The sequence below is a fragment of the Homo sapiens genome, chromosome 12, assembly GCF_000001405.40.
Source record: "Homo sapiens chromosome 12, GRCh38.p14 Primary Assembly".
Taxonomy (NCBI): domain Eukaryota; kingdom Metazoa; phylum Chordata; class Mammalia; order Primates; family Hominidae; genus Homo; species Homo sapiens.
The window spans coordinates 57,227,287-57,241,350 of record NC_000012.12 but is presented as its reverse complement, the minus strand read 5'-3'; the positions used below and the strand labels follow the sequence as shown (position 1 = coordinate 57,241,350).

At 57.9% G+C, this 14,064-nt stretch overlaps 2 protein-coding genes across 13 annotated transcripts, besides 13 other annotated features; one reads left to right on the top strand and one right to left on the bottom strand.

Moving 5' to 3' along the window:
- The first annotated feature begins 588 nt into the window (after nt 1-588).
- Nucleotides 589-6,448, top strand: COXFA4L2 (cytochrome c oxidase hypoxia associated subunit FA4L2). Of its 3 annotated transcripts, none has more exons than NM_020142.4 (5): nt 589-602; nt 4,016-4,322; nt 4,670-4,758; nt 5,542-5,602; nt 5,732-6,448. In NM_020142.4, exons 2-5 carry the CDS (start codon nt 4,266-4,268, stop codon nt 5,786-5,788), a joined length of 264 nt encoding a protein of 87 aa, NP_064527.1. In that variant the 5' UTR covers nt 589-602; nt 4,016-4,265; the 3' UTR covers nt 5,789-6,448. The 3 variants fall into 3 exon arrangements, with proteins under 3 accessions (NP_064527.1, NP_001381889.1, NP_001381890.1); NM_001394960.1 differs by lacking the exon at nt 589-602 and adding an exon at nt 607-672; NM_001394961.1 differs by lacking the exon at nt 589-602 and having other exon boundaries at nt 4,247-4,322.
- Nucleotides 934-1,839: an enhancer, noted in NCBI's record as "H3K4me1 hESC enhancer chr12:57633295-57634200 (GRCh37/hg19 assembly coordinates)". NCBI's record gives its function as "activates a minimal SCP1, AML or CMV promoter by ChIP-STARR-seq in naive and primed H9 embryonic stem cells {active_cell/tissue: H9 hESC(naive and primed)}" and the evidence as "EXISTENCE:reporter gene assay evidence [ECO:0000049][PMID:30033119]".
- Nucleotides 1,265-1,354: an enhancer, noted in NCBI's record as "active region_6533". NCBI's record gives its function as "activates an Ori minimal core promoter by ATAC-STARR-seq in GM12878 lymphoblastoid cells {active_cell/tissue: GM12878}" and the evidence as "EXISTENCE:reporter gene assay evidence [ECO:0000049][PMID:35858748]".
- Nucleotides 1,955-2,224: a silencer, noted in NCBI's record as "silent region_4579". NCBI's record gives its function as "represses an Ori minimal core promoter by ATAC-STARR-seq in GM12878 lymphoblastoid cells {active_cell/tissue: GM12878}" and the evidence as "EXISTENCE:reporter gene assay evidence [ECO:0000049][PMID:35858748]".
- Nucleotides 2,908-3,510: an enhancer, noted in NCBI's record as "H3K4me1 hESC enhancer chr12:57631624-57632226 (GRCh37/hg19 assembly coordinates)". NCBI's record gives its function as "activates a minimal SCP1, AML or CMV promoter by ChIP-STARR-seq in primed H9 embryonic stem cells {active_cell/tissue: H9 hESC(primed)}" and the evidence as "EXISTENCE:reporter gene assay evidence [ECO:0000049][PMID:30033119]".
- Nucleotides 5,753-5,892: an enhancer, noted in NCBI's record as "active region_6532". NCBI's record gives its function as "activates an Ori minimal core promoter by ATAC-STARR-seq in GM12878 lymphoblastoid cells {active_cell/tissue: GM12878}" and the evidence as "EXISTENCE:reporter gene assay evidence [ECO:0000049][PMID:35858748]".
- Nucleotides 5,951-6,245: an enhancer, noted in NCBI's record as "tiled region #225; HepG2 Activating non-DNase unmatched - State 4:PromP, and K562 Activating non-DNase unmatched - State 14:Gen5'". NCBI's record gives its function as "activates a minimal TATA promoter and a strong SV40 promoter by Sharpr-MPRA in HepG2 cells, with weak activation in K562 cells {active_cell/tissue: HepG2 | K562}" and the evidence as "EXISTENCE:reporter gene assay evidence [ECO:0000049][PMID:27701403]".
- Nucleotides 5,953-6,072: an enhancer, noted in NCBI's record as "active region_6531". NCBI's record gives its function as "activates an Ori minimal core promoter by ATAC-STARR-seq in GM12878 lymphoblastoid cells {active_cell/tissue: GM12878}" and the evidence as "EXISTENCE:reporter gene assay evidence [ECO:0000049][PMID:35858748]".
- SHMT2 (serine hydroxymethyltransferase 2) lies at nt 6,416-11,640 on the bottom strand. 10 transcript variants are annotated; one of them, NM_005412.6, is made up of 12 exons: nt 11,540-11,640; nt 10,351-10,548; nt 9,791-9,870; nt 9,438-9,638; nt 9,059-9,140; nt 8,776-8,898; nt 8,508-8,647; nt 8,006-8,171; nt 7,689-7,788; nt 7,447-7,602; nt 7,241-7,348; nt 6,416-7,117 (listed from the first exon to the last, which is right to left on the bottom strand). In NM_005412.6, the coding sequence occupies exons 1-12, from the start codon at nt 11,570-11,572 to the stop codon at nt 6,990-6,992; spliced, it is 1,515 nt and encodes a 504-aa protein (NP_005403.2). In that variant the 5' UTR covers nt 11,573-11,640; the 3' UTR covers nt 6,416-6,989. The 10 variants fall into 10 exon arrangements, 6 of the variants coding, with proteins under 6 accessions (NP_005403.2, NP_001159828.1, NP_001159830.1 ...); NM_001166356.2 differs by having other exon boundaries at nt 8,776-8,868; NM_001166358.2 differs by lacking the exon at nt 11,540-11,640 and adding an exon at nt 11,107-11,209.
- Nucleotides 7,843-8,423: an enhancer, noted in NCBI's record as "H3K4me1 hESC enhancer chr12:57626711-57627291 (GRCh37/hg19 assembly coordinates)". NCBI's record gives its function as "activates a minimal SCP1, AML or CMV promoter by ChIP-STARR-seq in primed H9 embryonic stem cells {active_cell/tissue: H9 hESC(primed)}" and the evidence as "EXISTENCE:reporter gene assay evidence [ECO:0000049][PMID:30033119]".
- Nucleotides 9,005-9,586: an enhancer, noted in NCBI's record as "H3K4me1 hESC enhancer chr12:57625548-57626129 (GRCh37/hg19 assembly coordinates)". NCBI's record gives its function as "activates a minimal SCP1, AML or CMV promoter by ChIP-STARR-seq in primed H9 embryonic stem cells {active_cell/tissue: H9 hESC(primed)}" and the evidence as "EXISTENCE:reporter gene assay evidence [ECO:0000049][PMID:30033119]".
- Nucleotides 9,587-10,167: an enhancer, noted in NCBI's record as "H3K27ac-H3K4me1 hESC enhancer chr12:57624967-57625547 (GRCh37/hg19 assembly coordinates)". NCBI's record gives its function as "activates a minimal SCP1, AML or CMV promoter by ChIP-STARR-seq in primed H9 embryonic stem cells {active_cell/tissue: H9 hESC(primed)}" and the evidence as "EXISTENCE:reporter gene assay evidence [ECO:0000049][PMID:30033119]".
- Nucleotides 11,071-11,340: an enhancer, noted in NCBI's record as "active region_6530". NCBI's record gives its function as "activates an Ori minimal core promoter by ATAC-STARR-seq in GM12878 lymphoblastoid cells {active_cell/tissue: GM12878}" and the evidence as "EXISTENCE:reporter gene assay evidence [ECO:0000049][PMID:35858748]".
- Nucleotides 11,441-11,500: an enhancer, noted in NCBI's record as "active region_6529". NCBI's record gives its function as "activates an Ori minimal core promoter by ATAC-STARR-seq in GM12878 lymphoblastoid cells {active_cell/tissue: GM12878}" and the evidence as "EXISTENCE:reporter gene assay evidence [ECO:0000049][PMID:35858748]".
- Nucleotides 11,821-11,990: an enhancer, noted in NCBI's record as "active region_6528". NCBI's record gives its function as "activates an Ori minimal core promoter by ATAC-STARR-seq in GM12878 lymphoblastoid cells {active_cell/tissue: GM12878}" and the evidence as "EXISTENCE:reporter gene assay evidence [ECO:0000049][PMID:35858748]".

Below are 14,064 nucleotides of genomic sequence, written 5' to 3'. Positions count from 1 at the left end.
CTCGGTGCAGCTCCAGTGTTCCCTTTAGGCTCTCCCTCCACGAAACTGCCCGATTTGGGTCAGTGGGGTCCGCCCGGTCTGCTGCTCAGGGGCAGCCCAACGTCGGCGCTACCCGCCCTAGGGGCCAGTCAAGGAAGCTTGCAGACAGCTAAGCCCTGGTGCACGGGCCTCCTAGTCCACAGCCCCAGGCGCCTCCTGTCACCAAGACCTCATCATACTGCTAGGCTAACAAGGCCTGCTCCGGAGACCCTGACGACCTCCCTGCCACATTCCACCCCGCAGGGCACAGATGGCAACTCCTGCATATGCTAAGGTGTGCTAGCCTCTGAGTGGGTGTGGGTGGGCTCTCCGTGCCCCTGGCAATTATGGACGTCTGTATCTCCGGCGTGTGGTTAGTGTGTGTCCGTTTGTTCCCTGGGTATGTGAGGTGTGTCTACCTGAGCCCCAGGTGTGTCCGACTCTGTGCCCGGGTGTGTGTCTGTGCCCCTGAGTGTGTCTATATCTGTCGGGTTTGTCCACTTCCCCGTCCCCAGCTCCCATCTGGGTGATTTTGCCCGGGTGTGCCTCCGCGTGGGGGCGTTTCCGTGCGTCTCCGCCTGCAGGTCTGTGTATGTGTGAAAATCAGGAAGAGCCAGCGGGGAGTGTGTGTTGCCATCGCGTCTCCGCCTGCAGGTATGTGTGTCTCAGTGACAGTGCGTAGGCGTGTGCCTGGGTGTGAGCCGCGCGGCGGCGTGTATCCGAATGACAGTGTGACGCACGTGCGCGCGCGAGTGTGTGTGTGCGCGCGCCGGGGTGAGTCTCCCGCCCCCACTCCTTCCTTTCCCCATTTCTATTCCTCTCTCCTCTCCCGGCCAGCTCGGCTTCGCCATCCGCATCATCTCCATCCATTATTGAAGAAACAGCCGCGTCCGCTCCAATCACATCAACACCCCCGCCCCCTTTCCGTTCCGCTCGCCCAGCGGCCCTCTGGGTGCTGAGGAGAGGGGAAGCCAAGGCGCGGTGGGGGCGCCGGGTGGGAATGGGCTTATGACCCTTGCCCCAAGCCCGGCCAGGAGCCGGGACGCCGGGGTCCCCGGCGGAGAGCGCTTTGCATAAACAGATGGCGCGGGCGGCTTTGTCTCACTCGTTCGCTCACCGCGCAGCTCCCGGCTCCGCTTCTGTCTGGCTGATGCAATCATGATCATCTCGGTGCCTCGGGACCAGGCGCCCTTAATAATGGCAGAGGGGGGTCAGGGGCCCCGGGGCTCCCGAGCAGATGCTGGGCCCTGTGTCTTCCTTTCCGGGCGCCCCTCCACGTCCCACAGCCGCAGCGGGAAGATCAACGCTGCGCGGAGTTGACGGGCATGTGGAGGTGACCAGGATGAGGACCCCGGGCAGTGCCCCGAGGCGTCTCCGGGCTGCCCTGTTGGGCTGCTTCAGTCCCCAGAGGCAGCAACCCAGAGAATAGGAATAGAGCTGGGGAGTGGGGTTGGGGAGAGACAGAGATAAAGACAGAGACAAAGAGAGGCATTAGTAAAGAGAGACACAGTGAGATGGAGAGATGTGGAGGGAGGGAGCGAGACACAAAGAGACACAGAAAAACCGATGCAGAGGGACAAAGCCAGGTAGGGAAGGCAGCAAGAGGGAGAGCAGACAGACACAGCCAGAATAGGGAAGAGAGAGATGGACATACCCAGAGACAGGAAGCAGACAGAAGGCAGAAAGAACAAGAGGCAGAAAGAAGGGCAGCCAGAGGCTAGGACAGGCCGGGTCAGAGGGCTTAGGGCAATCTCGAATCTGCAGCCCAGAAGCAGAGATGAAGCCCCCGCCTCCCCGGCCCCCAGGCATCTGAGGATGCCCAACCCCAGAAGAGGAACCCGCCTGAACCCTGGGTGCCGATTGTGGCTGGAGAGATAGGAGCTTCCGCGTCCCCTCTCCGCCCTCCGGTCCCATCTCACACCAGAAGAGTGGAGGCTGCAGGACCCACTGTCTTGGAGGCGGGAGTGGCGGAGTGACGGGCTGGGCGTGGACGGACACTCCAGGCACCAACTTAGCGGCCCGAACGCCGGGAGTGCAGGGTCGACACTGCCCGACAGGGGGTGCCCAAGGCCTCTTCCCCGAGCTTGGGGGCCGCTCGGCCTCCAGGGGGCGCCCGAGCCCACGGCCCCTGCAACACGCTCGATCCGCTGAGTCCCGCTGCCTTTGACCCTCTGTGCAGCCAGCGCGCGGATTGGGATCCTGGTGCGGGTTAGCGCTTGGAGTCCAGTCCCAGCGGGATCCCGGGCCGTGCCTAATCTGCGGCTAATGACTCCTGCGGTCCCTCACCCCGCTGGGCCAGCGTGGCCTGAGTCCTCGTGGTGGGAAAGTGTGGGGAGCGAGGAGAGATGGGATCCGGAACCCAAGGAGTCCTGTATTCCAGATCGGCCCCATGGGCCACGAGCCAGAGACGGGAACCAAAGATGGAAGGGGGCTTAGAAATAAATTCACAGAGACAGGGACCAGAAGCAGGAGAAGGGTCAGAGAGTGGCGGAGAGGCGGAGCGGAGGCAATAATGTAACGTTGCATCTCGGTGAGCGGGGCGGAGGCCCAAGGCCGGAGGGACAGCGGCGGCTCTGGAAAAGGAGCGCGACGGAGAATTTGGGACCTGGCCGGGGTCACCGGAACTCAGAACAAAGGGCACAAGGAAGCAGGCGAGGGCCTGTGAGCAAAGGCGCAAGGACCAGGCGCCCCTTCCGGCGTCCTGGCTCCCCAGCTGTGCCACAGAGAACCAGATGTGCAGCCCAGTTGTGCGGCCGCTCGAGTTTGAGCTCTGGGATTGTTTTTTGGTCCCAGAGACTGGAGGGCTGGGGTGCGCGGGTGACAGGACACGCCCTCCCTTCCTGGGCCCTGGAGGCGCGGGCTCTCGGGAGGGCTGGGCTGCTGGAGGCTCTAACAGCCCGTCAGCCCCGCTCCCCCGCCCCCCCCACACACATCGCAGCGAGTCTCTGTCTCTTTGTTCTCGCCGTGTCTCTGACACTTTATCTCATTATCCGCCGGAGTGAGGCGGAGAGCCCGGGACCCCGCAGCCTAATTACAGCCGCGCTTGTCAGAGTAGGGGGCGGCGGAAGTATCAGCGAGAAGGAAAGGGAGGCGGACCCTAGAAAGCGCCCTCTCCCTCCCTGTACCCCGACGATCCCAGAGACGGGTGCATAGCTCGCTCCCGCCCGCGCCCTCCACAGGGCGGGCTCTGGAGGGGGAGGTGCTCTGCAGGATCGGCTGCGAGGAGGGAGGGGGTGGTGGAGGTTATCGTGGGAGTGGGGAGAGATATTAGGACTCGGTTCCTACGTCCCTAAGACCCAAATTCCCCAGAGACGGGGGCTGTGAGCCTCCCCACCCCAGCAGCACAGCACACACCTGAGATGGTTGAGGACAGGAGGGAATCGCTTGCATTTCTGTGTCTGTGTCTTGTTCTCTTTCAGCATCTGTCCGATCTTTCCTGTTTCCCCCACTCCATTCCCTTCCTATCCATCCCACAGCCAGAGGAAGTGGATGGCCTCCTTGGGCGGCCCCACCTTTACCCTACCCCAGGTAGGCAGAGCAAGCAAGTCTCTCAAGCCTCACTGCCATGACTGTGGTAGAATAAATAAACTGGCGTATTCTATCCTGAGCCATGATTAACATACACCTGGTTCTTCCAGCCTCCAACCGCAATTCCAGTCCAACCACAACCTGAAGAAACCACTCAGAACAAGAGGGGCTGGGGGAGCTTTACGGTGTGGGCCTGTCTTCCTCCTTCCCCCACTACACTGTGGAGGGGACAGAACCAGGGTTCTCAGGACCCGCTCCTGGACAGCTCTAAGGGTGTCAGGGAAGTGCTGCACATGCCCTCACTGGCCTTAGCCCCTCCTGGTCCCACCTGTGAACATTCCACACATGCATTTTGCTAAGTGCCTGTCCCATGGCCATGCCTCCTCCCACATCTTATGGGGTCCTATGCCACTGAGGTCCTTCCCTCAGATGCCAGAAGCCCCAAGAATGATGGTGTCCCTTGGTCCAGGTGCAGACATCTGGAGGAGAGAGTCGGAGAGCAGAAACCACTTGGCTCCCAGACAATTCCCCTACAGGCTTTGGGCCTGGAATTGAGGAGAAAGTGAGCTAAGTTGGGGTGGGGTGAGTCCAAAGAAGCACGGGCTGGGCCAAGCTAAGCTGCTCTGGGCTGGGCTGATCCCTCCCCACTCAGGGGCGGGACCCCAGGAGGAGGGAGAGGACAGAGCCACTGCAGAGGACCAGACTGGGAAAACAACGATATGGCAGGAGCCAGTCTTGGGGCCCGCTTCTACCGGCAGATCAAAAGACATCCGGGGGTGAGTCCTCAGAACCTCAGAACCTCTAACTCCTAACTCTCCTGCTGCCCCACCCTCCAAATCCCCCAATGCCTTGCCTTGTGCCCAGGTCCCTCAGCGCTCCTATTCTTCCCCTAAGGTTGCCCCAGTCTCTCTCCGAAACGTCCCTGTGTCCCACAAATCTACTACCTTGGACACGATCGCTGTAGGGTGAGGGAGACCATGCCAGGAAATATGGTTGTAGGAGATTCCAGGGAGGGAGCACCAGACCCGGGGTGGGGTTGGGGTGGGCAGAAAAGCTTGTAAAGGGTGACTGGGAACTGCGGGGAGAGGGCTGACCCCAAAAGTGCTCTCCCTCTTCCCCGCAGATCATCCCGATGATCGGCTTAATCTGCCTGGGCATGGGCAGCGCTGCGCTTTACTTGCTGCGACTCGCCCTTCGCAGCCCCGACGTCTGGTAAAGGCACGGCTTGGGATGCTCACGGGGGCCTGGGTGAGGCAAGATGGGGTGGAAATAGGCGGCCCTAGTGGGGATCCCGTGCCCTGCTGCATGCACCTTCGACTGTACCGACCGGCATCTCAGGGCTGGAGCCCACTGCTGACCTGGGAGACCCCCGTATCCCCTCCAGCCCACCTGGCCGCTCACTCCTCAGCTTGGCCCGCCCTGAAATGCGGAACCCGCGCCTCTCCCGGCCGGGTTGCCATGACGACGCCGCTCAGCCAGCGGTGGGCTTGGGCTTTTGGGTACCTCTAAGTCCTCACCAGAGCACTGGGGTTGTGGCCGGGTGAGCTGCTGGGGGTGGCATTGGGGACCAGTGTGGGGCGGAGATTTCACACCCGGCCGCGGAGAGGGTCCGGAAGTGAAAGGCGCACCCATGGCTTTATAATTCCCGGCACATCACCAGAAACCCAGCCCCTTGGGATCTGTGTCTGATTCCCACGACTCTGCTCTTAGGGTTAACCTAGGGTGGCAGGCAGCAAGTGGGAGTCCCTGGGCCCCGTTGTCAGTTTGTCACGCAGCCCCATGCTGACAATGGTGACAGGCTTCTTGTCTCACTTGTCAGCACCTGCTAATATGACCGTTCCTTTGTCAGTATCTGGGAAATGGGACCCCCAGGGCAGGAGGCAGGGGTACTGGGGTGGGGCCAGAGCCTCCGGGTGGAGCTTGGGGGTCAAATTGGGTTACAGAGTTCTGGGTCCCAGGGAGGAGACCCTAACCCTCCCCCCTCCTGCTCCACAGCTGGGACAGAAAGAACAACCCGGAGCCCTGGAACCGCCTGAGCCCCAATGACCAATACAAGGTACCTCTCGATGGCTCTAGGGTTGCCCCCCATCCTCTTATCTCCTGGTCCTGGCACCCACAACTCCCGTACTAGAAGCAAAGGGAGGCTTGGGGTACTCAGCGCAACCCCCTTTCCCTCTCCTCTTAGTTCCTTGCAGTTTCCACTGACTATAAGAAGCTGAAGAAGGACCGGCCAGACTTCTAAGCCAGGCTGGGCTGCCAGTGCCATGCAAGCCACAGCCAGCCAGCCCATCCACTTCTTCCACTCCTCCCCGCAGGCCCCAAGGCATCACTCCGGCCACCCTGTCCCGCTACTGCTTACACAGGCCGGGTTCCCACGCAGAGGGGAGGCTGCTCCACCCCTACTCTCCTCCCTTGCTCCCAGCAGCGGAAGCGCCTCTGACCCTTGGCTTGAGTCCCACGTGGGGGAGGAGGAGGCAGGCAGCACCAGCAGGGGTCCACCAAGAGCCCAGACCAGCCCCTCTGCCCTCCTACCCGGGCCTCGAAGGGTGTGGCACAGGCTACGTGTTGAGCGTGGCCTACGTGAGCCAACAAGAAGCAGGGGCCTCTGAGTGCCAAGCGACGTGGCGGGCTCCACGTTAGCCCAGGCTCTGAGAGCCAGCCCAGGGGCGGCGCTGCTCAGCTTGGGCTGGTCCAGGGCCTGCCCAGGCTGGGGCACCTTTGCCTCCTGAGGCGCAGCGCACTCCTCCCCTGCCCAAGCCTACTGCCTCCCGCTGCCGCCAGTACCCCCTCCAGCCCCACACCTGGGCCTCCCCCTGCCACTCCCCTCCCTTGCTCCCCTCTGTCCCCAGGGATCAAACAGAAGCAGCCGTGGGCAAAATACAATTTCATTTAACAAATTGAATTTGCTGCGCCTGCTAATCACGTCTGGTGTCGGCTCTGATCAGAGACAGAAAGAGGAGGCTGCAGCCCCGGGGGTCCTTGTGGTAGCGGTGGTGGGAGCGGAGCGGTGTACACATTGAGGGAGACAAATCACTGTTTGGCCCAGGGGAACCCCACCCACAGTAATGGAAACTCAGGGCAGGTTAGCATTTTATTAGATAAAAACAGGAAGGAGGGTGCCTACCCACCCCTGCCTGCTACTGGCTCTGAAGGGCACTCCTCAACTTCCCCAAGAAAGAGGACGCGTCTCTGACACTGTGATCATGACAGGGGTTCAAACAGAAAGTGCCTGGGCCCTCCTTCTAAGTCTTGTTACCAAAAAAAGGAAAAAGAAAAGATCTTCTCAGTTACAAATTCTGGGAAGGGAGACTATACCTGGCTCTTGCCCTAAGTGAGAGGTCTTCCCTCCCGCACCAAAAAATAGAAAGGCTTTCTATTTCACTGGCCCAGGTAGGGGGAAGGAGAGTAACTTTGAGTCTGTGGGCCTCATTTCCCAGGTGCCTTCAATGCTCATCAAAACCAGGCATGGGGAAGGCCCTGGCAAACTGCTCCACCCGTTGCCTGAGGTTGGCCAGACGCTGACTTGTTTCTGAGTCCTTAAGCAGGAAGGATTTGAAATCCTGGAGCTTGGCTAGAGAGAGAGGGTGAGGAAACAAGTGGTCAGAGCTCTAGGGAAGGCAGTGAGATCAGCTGGGGGAGGGAGCAGACAGTGAGTGGGAACTGGCTGGCCCGGGGCTCCTTCTTGCTCACTCACCAGTCTTGCTCTTCACCTCTAAGCCAATGTTGACCCCTTCATCTATAAAGTCCACAACTCTCCGGAAGTCATCCTCACGGAACTGTCGAGAAGTTAAGGCTGGGGCCCCTGGAACGAGGCACAAGGGGAGGGATGAGCATAGCCCAAGGTCACCTGGCAGTCATCCAGCATGGGAGCCCCTTCCCTCCTCAAACCCCAGGTCTCACCAAGCCGCAGGCCGCCCGGTGTGATGGCACTTCGGTCTCCAGGACAGGTGTTCTTGTTGGCAGTGATGGATACAAGCTCTAGCACCCGCTCAGCCCGAGCTCCATCCAGGCCCTTGGGCCGCAGGTCCACCAGCACCAGGTGGTTGTCAGTACCACCTAAGGTGGGTAAGAAATGGGGAGTGGTGAGTCCTGGGCCTCTGCCTGAAGCTACAGAGGCCCTCACCCATCACCTGCTGGCTTACCTGATACCAGTGAGTAGCCTCGCTCTAGCAGGGCATCTGCCATGGCCCGAGCATTCTTCAGAACCTGCAGGGAGTACTCCCGGAACATGGGGGTGCAGGCCTGGAGATGAGACAGTAGCAGCTGTCACCCTAGGCCTGGACCCAAGCCCTGCACTACCCTCTGGCCCTGCACCCTCAGCATAGCTCTGTGACCCCAGCCTTGACTCCTTCCATCCTGGCATTTCCCTTCCATCAGCCCCAGCATCAGTTAGCAAGGTGCAGGGTCTAAGCCTCCAGGCCATTGCCCCCCCACACCCTACAAAGACAGGATCCCCAACCTGCTTTAGGGCCACAGCTACTGCAGCAATGGCATGATTGTGGGGGCCCCCCTGCAGGGATGGGAACACGGCAAAGTTGATTCGGTCCTCAAATGTGTAAGGGATCTCCCGGCCAGTCTTGGGGTCCACAGCCTTCACCCCTTTCCGGTAGAAGATGAGCCCTGACCTGTGTGAGAGGTGGATGGTCAGAGTCTAAGCTGAAAAGAAGGACAAGGGACAGAGAAGGCAGAGGAAGCTGGCGGACCTGGGCCCCAAGGGCACAGCTCACGTGGGCTTGGTACACTGGATTCCAGTGGTAGAGGGAATCAGCCCCTCAATCCCATCCACAAATCCCCTGCCAGGGCATGGCCACCATGGGCAAGAGAAGGAGAACTCTCACAGACTGGGCAGGAGTCTTAAGGGCTGCAGGTGGGAATGAATTCCTCTCAGGTCCAGGCCAACAGTGCCCCAGGAATAGGCCTGAAGGCAGGGAAAGGCAAGGCCCGACCTCAGGGAGCCTGACCTGGCCCCTCGAAGAGTCTTGTGAGTAGTGGTGGTGACGATGTCCGCGTGCTTGAAAGGCGAGGGAATCACCTTGGCAGCCACCAGGCCACTGATGTGGGCCATGTCTGCCAGCAGGTGTGCTTTGACTTCATCACACACCTGGGCAGGTACAGAGGCAAGGCCTCAGCCTGGGGAGGGCCCGGAGAGGCCTGCCCAAGGCTGCCCTCCTCCCACACCTCCTCACCACCCCCTGGGGAGGTGCCCAGTCTCCAGCCCCCCCCACCAACCTCTCTCATGCGGGCGTAGTCAATGAGGCGAGCATAGGCGCTGGTGCCAGCTATGATGAGCCGTGGCCGGAAAAGTCGAGCAGTCAGTGCCAGCTGGTTGTAGTCAATGAGGCCAGTTTTGGGCTGGACAGACACACAAACAGCTAAAGCCCTGAGAAGGAAGCAGGGCAGCTCACTCTCCTCCTTAACCCTAAGGACGGCCCGGCGCTCCAGGCCCTCAGCTTCTCCAGGGGAGGACCACCACCAGGGCCAAGAGCCCCTCCCCACACCCTAGAGCACTCACGTTGAGCTTATAGGGCATAGACTCGAAGAAGATGGACGTGGCTGATATCCGCTTGACGTCAGACATGTAGCCGTGGGTGAGACTGCGAAGTGAGAGGAAGTAAGAAGGCCTGGGTGGAAGGACCCCCGGACTTAACCACTCCCTTCAACTCCACAGTTCTCTGTCCCCAGAACACCAGTCCTAGGACACACCGCCTCACTGCTCTGTCCACTCTGTGGTAGGCACTATAACTGGGATCTTATCTTCCTCATCCACTGTGACATGCAGGACAGGGCAAGGCCTGTTCCATCTGTATGGTCCACAGTAGGTATTCAATAAATAACTCCTTTCCCACACCAATCCTGCCGCCAAGACCATCAGCCAGCCCATCCATACTCACTGGCCCCCATCGGGCAGGTCCAGCCCCATGATCCGGTCGTGAGGTTGCAGAAGGGCTGTGTAGACGGCCAGGTTGGCTGGGGACCCGGAGTAGGGCTGGACATTGACTCCCCACTGTGCAGGATCCAGGTCAAAGGCTTCCAAGGCCCGGCGCTGGCACAGCAGCTCAATTTCATCCACCACCTCTGCTCCCCCATAGTATCTGCCGTGGGAGAGGGGTAATGAGGGCACAGAGAAAGGACTCTCAACCATCAGCAAAGGACTGGGAAGTTCACTCCTCAATGAACACTGGGAAGGTACAGGTGGGTTCCCCCACTGGGAGCACCATCCCTGACACTGCCCTCCAGCCCTCACCTCTTGCCAGGATAACCCTCCGAGTACTTGTTGTTCAGACAGGACCCCAGGGCCTCCAGCGCAGCTCGGCTGCAGAAGTTCTGGGGTGGTGGGGGGCAATGTCAGAAGGTATTGAGCCCCTTCCCCTGGACTCCCACAGTCCCTCCCTGCCAGAGCCAGAGCTGAAAGCGGGAGTACTCCCTGCAGAAAGCTCCATTCACTCAGCACCAGGCCTGGGGCAAAGCCAGAGGCAGCATTCTCAGAAACCCATCTGCCATGAGCAGTGGCCCCTCAATGCCACCTACCCACTCAAACTTGTGCTTCTAGGCTCCTCCTTCCTCATAGGAGGAAGGAAGGAAGGGATCAGATGAAACTGTAGGGACCCTGGAGGCTCCCTAAATGTCCCAACCCCATAAACTGGACTTGCACTGCCTTTGCTTGAGGGAGATAAGAAAGGAAGATAAAGCCCAAAGAAAGGTCCTGAGTGTGAAAGGGGGTTTTGGAGAAATATCAGTTAAGATAACTTTGTTACTTCCTGTACCCATGGTGGCCCAACCCCTGCCCATCTCCCCAGGTCCCACCTCTGAGGCAATGAGCTCCAGGCCACGACACTGCCTGTCCTTCTCCCTCTGCAGCAACTCCCACATCTCAGGATCACTGTCCGACAGGCTCTCCTGGCCTGTCCAGCCCCTGTTTGCTTCCCCAGTCTGAGTCTGGGCTGCGTTGCTGTGCTGAGCCCGAATGGCCATCCTGACCAGCTGCCCACATCTCTGCAGAGGCTGAAGGCAGGAAAAGTCAGGGTGAAATCACAACAGTCCAGACAAATCGTCTCCCGGCCACCCTCACTCATGCTTCTAAGGCCACACCAAGCTGCCAGTTGTCCAGCCAGCCTGTTTCAGTTCTCACTACCCCCACCTCCACCTTCAAAAGCCAGTTCTGGAGCCAAGCTTGAGATCAACGTCCAAGGGGTGGTTCTGATTTGCTCCATTCACCGCACCGCACCTCAGAAATCTCCCACCACCTCACTCCATGAACCACTCTGCAAAGCTTGTCCTCCAAAAGCCTATGTCTCCCCAACTCCAGAGAGGGCAACTGAGATTCCAGAACCTTCCCACCCACAGGAACAAGAGGGTCTTCCTGCAGGGCACCATAAACTGATACCCCAGTCAGCGGGGGAAGAGGCAGAGTTGGCAAGGGCTGAGGCCACAGATTGTAGAGCAATGCAGGTGGGAGGGGAGACCTTTAGCAGTCCGTGAGGAAGAGCTGTGTGGGAGTGGTGGGGGTGGGGATCTGCCCGAGAGTAAGCCAATACCCTTTCCCCTTACTTAGCCCCCTACCCGTTCCACCTCCTTCCAGCCCTCACTGCCGCCGGGACCCCTGCCTGATGCAAGCAGTGAAGCTCGGTTGCATCATCTGCAGGGCTCAGAGCTGGCCGGAAAGGCTCAGCTTGTGAGACCAGGCCGAAAACTCCGCTCATTTGCCAGCACCGGGTCCGCGGGGCATCCGGGGCTGTCCTCTCCCCTAATGCCACGTGAAATGGGCGGTCACGAGGCCCTGGGGCGTCTGATCGCCAGAATGAGGACAGGCTCGCAGTTAACTCCACGCGCGCCCAGGGGTCTTGGGGATTCCCCAGTTACACGTCCGCTCCCTGAGGCCCCAATCCACGTGCATGGAAAAGCCAAGAGAACCCCAGAGTTTGTGACTAGGAACTAAGGTAGGAGAAGAGCTTCCTTTCCACTGATTACCCAGCGTTTGGAGCCCCATTCTTACCCGAGCCGCCCAAAACAAAGAGAAGTACAGCATCGCAACTCGGAAGTCGCAGGAGGTCCAGCCACCAACTCTGGTCTAGGGCAGCAAGCTGTCGGAAGAAGACCGTTCGGAGAACGCATGCGCGAGAAGAGCTCGCTGAGGCGCCAAAGCTAACGGGAGGGATCTACGCATGCGTAGTGGTGGCCCCTTTGTGGCCTTTTGGGAATTGTAGTTCGCCCACTCACCGCTTTTTTCTTTATGATTCCCGTCTGTAGCCCCAGGGTTAGAGGCCCTTGCCTGGGGGGAAAAAAACAAAAAACAAAAACAGAGGTCCAGTGCCGCCCCCTCTCCTTACTATCTTGAAGCTTTTCAGGGTTTTCTCTCTGCTTGTTGTCAAGACAAACGTTTATAGGGTGCCTACTGAATATCTAGCTAGCATTATTAGACTCCAGGAGATCTAGACCCCCACACAAGATAAAGAGCTATGGAACACTGGAAAGCACCGTGGTTTAGAAGGGTCGGAAGACCTGAATTCAAGTTCCGGCTCTGGGACTAGTGCATTAGCTTGTGTGGGCTTCAGTTTCCTCCCTGGTAAAGCCACAAGAAAATACTGTGTGGTGAGGATTCAATGAGGCTTTTCCTGTGAACATGCGCTGTGACAGATTGTCCTCCCCTCTTCCTCTGACCCACAGACCTGCCTCCTACATGGCATCTCCTCTTTCTCCTCAGACATCTGGGAGCAGAGGAAGGCACCCCTCCTGTTGTTCACTTGTCCCATTTTGTTACCTGTCCACCTCTTGATGTCCCAGGAGTCGGTGGGCTCTCCTTTTTTCCCCAGGGCTATAGATCTTTGAGACTGGAAGGGATCTTCCTTTTAGCCTGACTTCATCCGGAAGAAACCCTTGGGAATGGGATTCATCAACCCCTCCAGGAGTAGGTTCCCAAACCTCAGCATCAGAATGGGTTAGAAAATATGATATAAATATGAGTGTGGGGTCTGTCTTCAGAGGTTCTAATTCAATGGATCTCAAAGAGTAGACATTTGCCCACTTATGCTGTCACACAACTAAACCTCTCCTCAGTGATTCTGATAAGCCAAGTTTTTTTTTTTAATTAAAAAAAAATTTTTGGCTGGGCATGGTGGCTCATGCCTGTAATCCCAGCACTTTGGGAGGCCAAGGCAGGAGAATCTCTTGAGGCCAGGAGTTCTAAACCAGCCTGGTCAACATAGTGAGACCCTATCTCTACAAAAGGAAAAATTTTAAATTACCTAGGCATGGTGGTATGTGCATGCAGTCCCAGCTACTGGGAAGGTTGAGGCAGGAGGGTCACTTGAGCCCGGGAGTTCAAGGTGAGCCATGATCAAGCCACTGCACTCCAGCCTGAGCAAGAGAGCAAGACTGTCTTCAAAAAAAATTTTTTTTGTTTTTTGTTTTTGAGACGGAGTCTCATTCTGTCACCCAGGCTGGAGTGCAGTGGCATGATCTTCACTCACTGCAACCTCTGCCTCTGGGTTCAAACAATTCTCCCTGCCTCAGCCTCCTGAGTAGCTGGGATTACAGGCGCCCACCACCACGTCCAGCTAATTTTTATATTTTTTAGTAGAGACGGGGTTTCACCATGTTGGTCAGGCTGATCTTGAACTCCTGACCTCAGGTGATCCGCCTGCCTTGGCCTCCCAAAGTTCTGGGATTACAGGTGTGAACCACCACGCCAGGCCAAAAAAATTGTTTTTTAAAGGCCAGTCAAGTGAAGCAGTGGGAGTGAAGAAGAAACAAAGAAACCTGTAACTGATTATGATCAATTATCATAATGTAACTGATTATGATCAAGTAAACATCACTGCACTTGGACCAGCCTGTTAAGCAGTGGTTTTGCGAATCATTGCCTTATGTAGCAATGTTACTCTATGCCAGGCATTCCATAGCCCTGGAGATACATGAAGAGCTCACTGGCTGCTAGGATACCAAGAGGTGAACAGGTAACAAAGTGTGACAAGTGCAATGACAGGAAGACACACCTAACTCTGCTCTCAGATGTCCAGCTGTATGAGGAAGAAGAGGAGGAGGCAGAGGAAGAGGGGAGGACTATCCAGCACAGCAGCATGTTCACAGGAAAAGCCTCATAGAATCCCCACCACACACTATTTTACTGTAGCTTTACAAGTGGGGAAACTAAGGCCCAGATGGGCGAATTTGTTAATTCCAGCCGTTCCCACCTGGTTCTCATACCAGCCCTTAGAAATCTCCCCTTAGCCGGAAGCTCCTTCCCTGCCATTCTAGGCTCAGCTCTTCTCAGGTGTTTCCAGCAATAAGCCTGGTGTTAGGAGACTTCCGGGTTCTTCTGCTTTTGGCCAATCTCGGATCCAGAACCATTCCTGATCTCCCTCCTCTTTTCAGTTGACCCGGTTATTCAGCCAGCCAGCCAGCAGATATTTATTTTCTGCTTACTGACTTTTCACTCCCAGATATGTCTGGGTCAGACCCCGTGTCTGACTCAGTTTCAGGCTGGAGCCAGTGGGCAAGCCCCTGGGGAACACTGCCCTC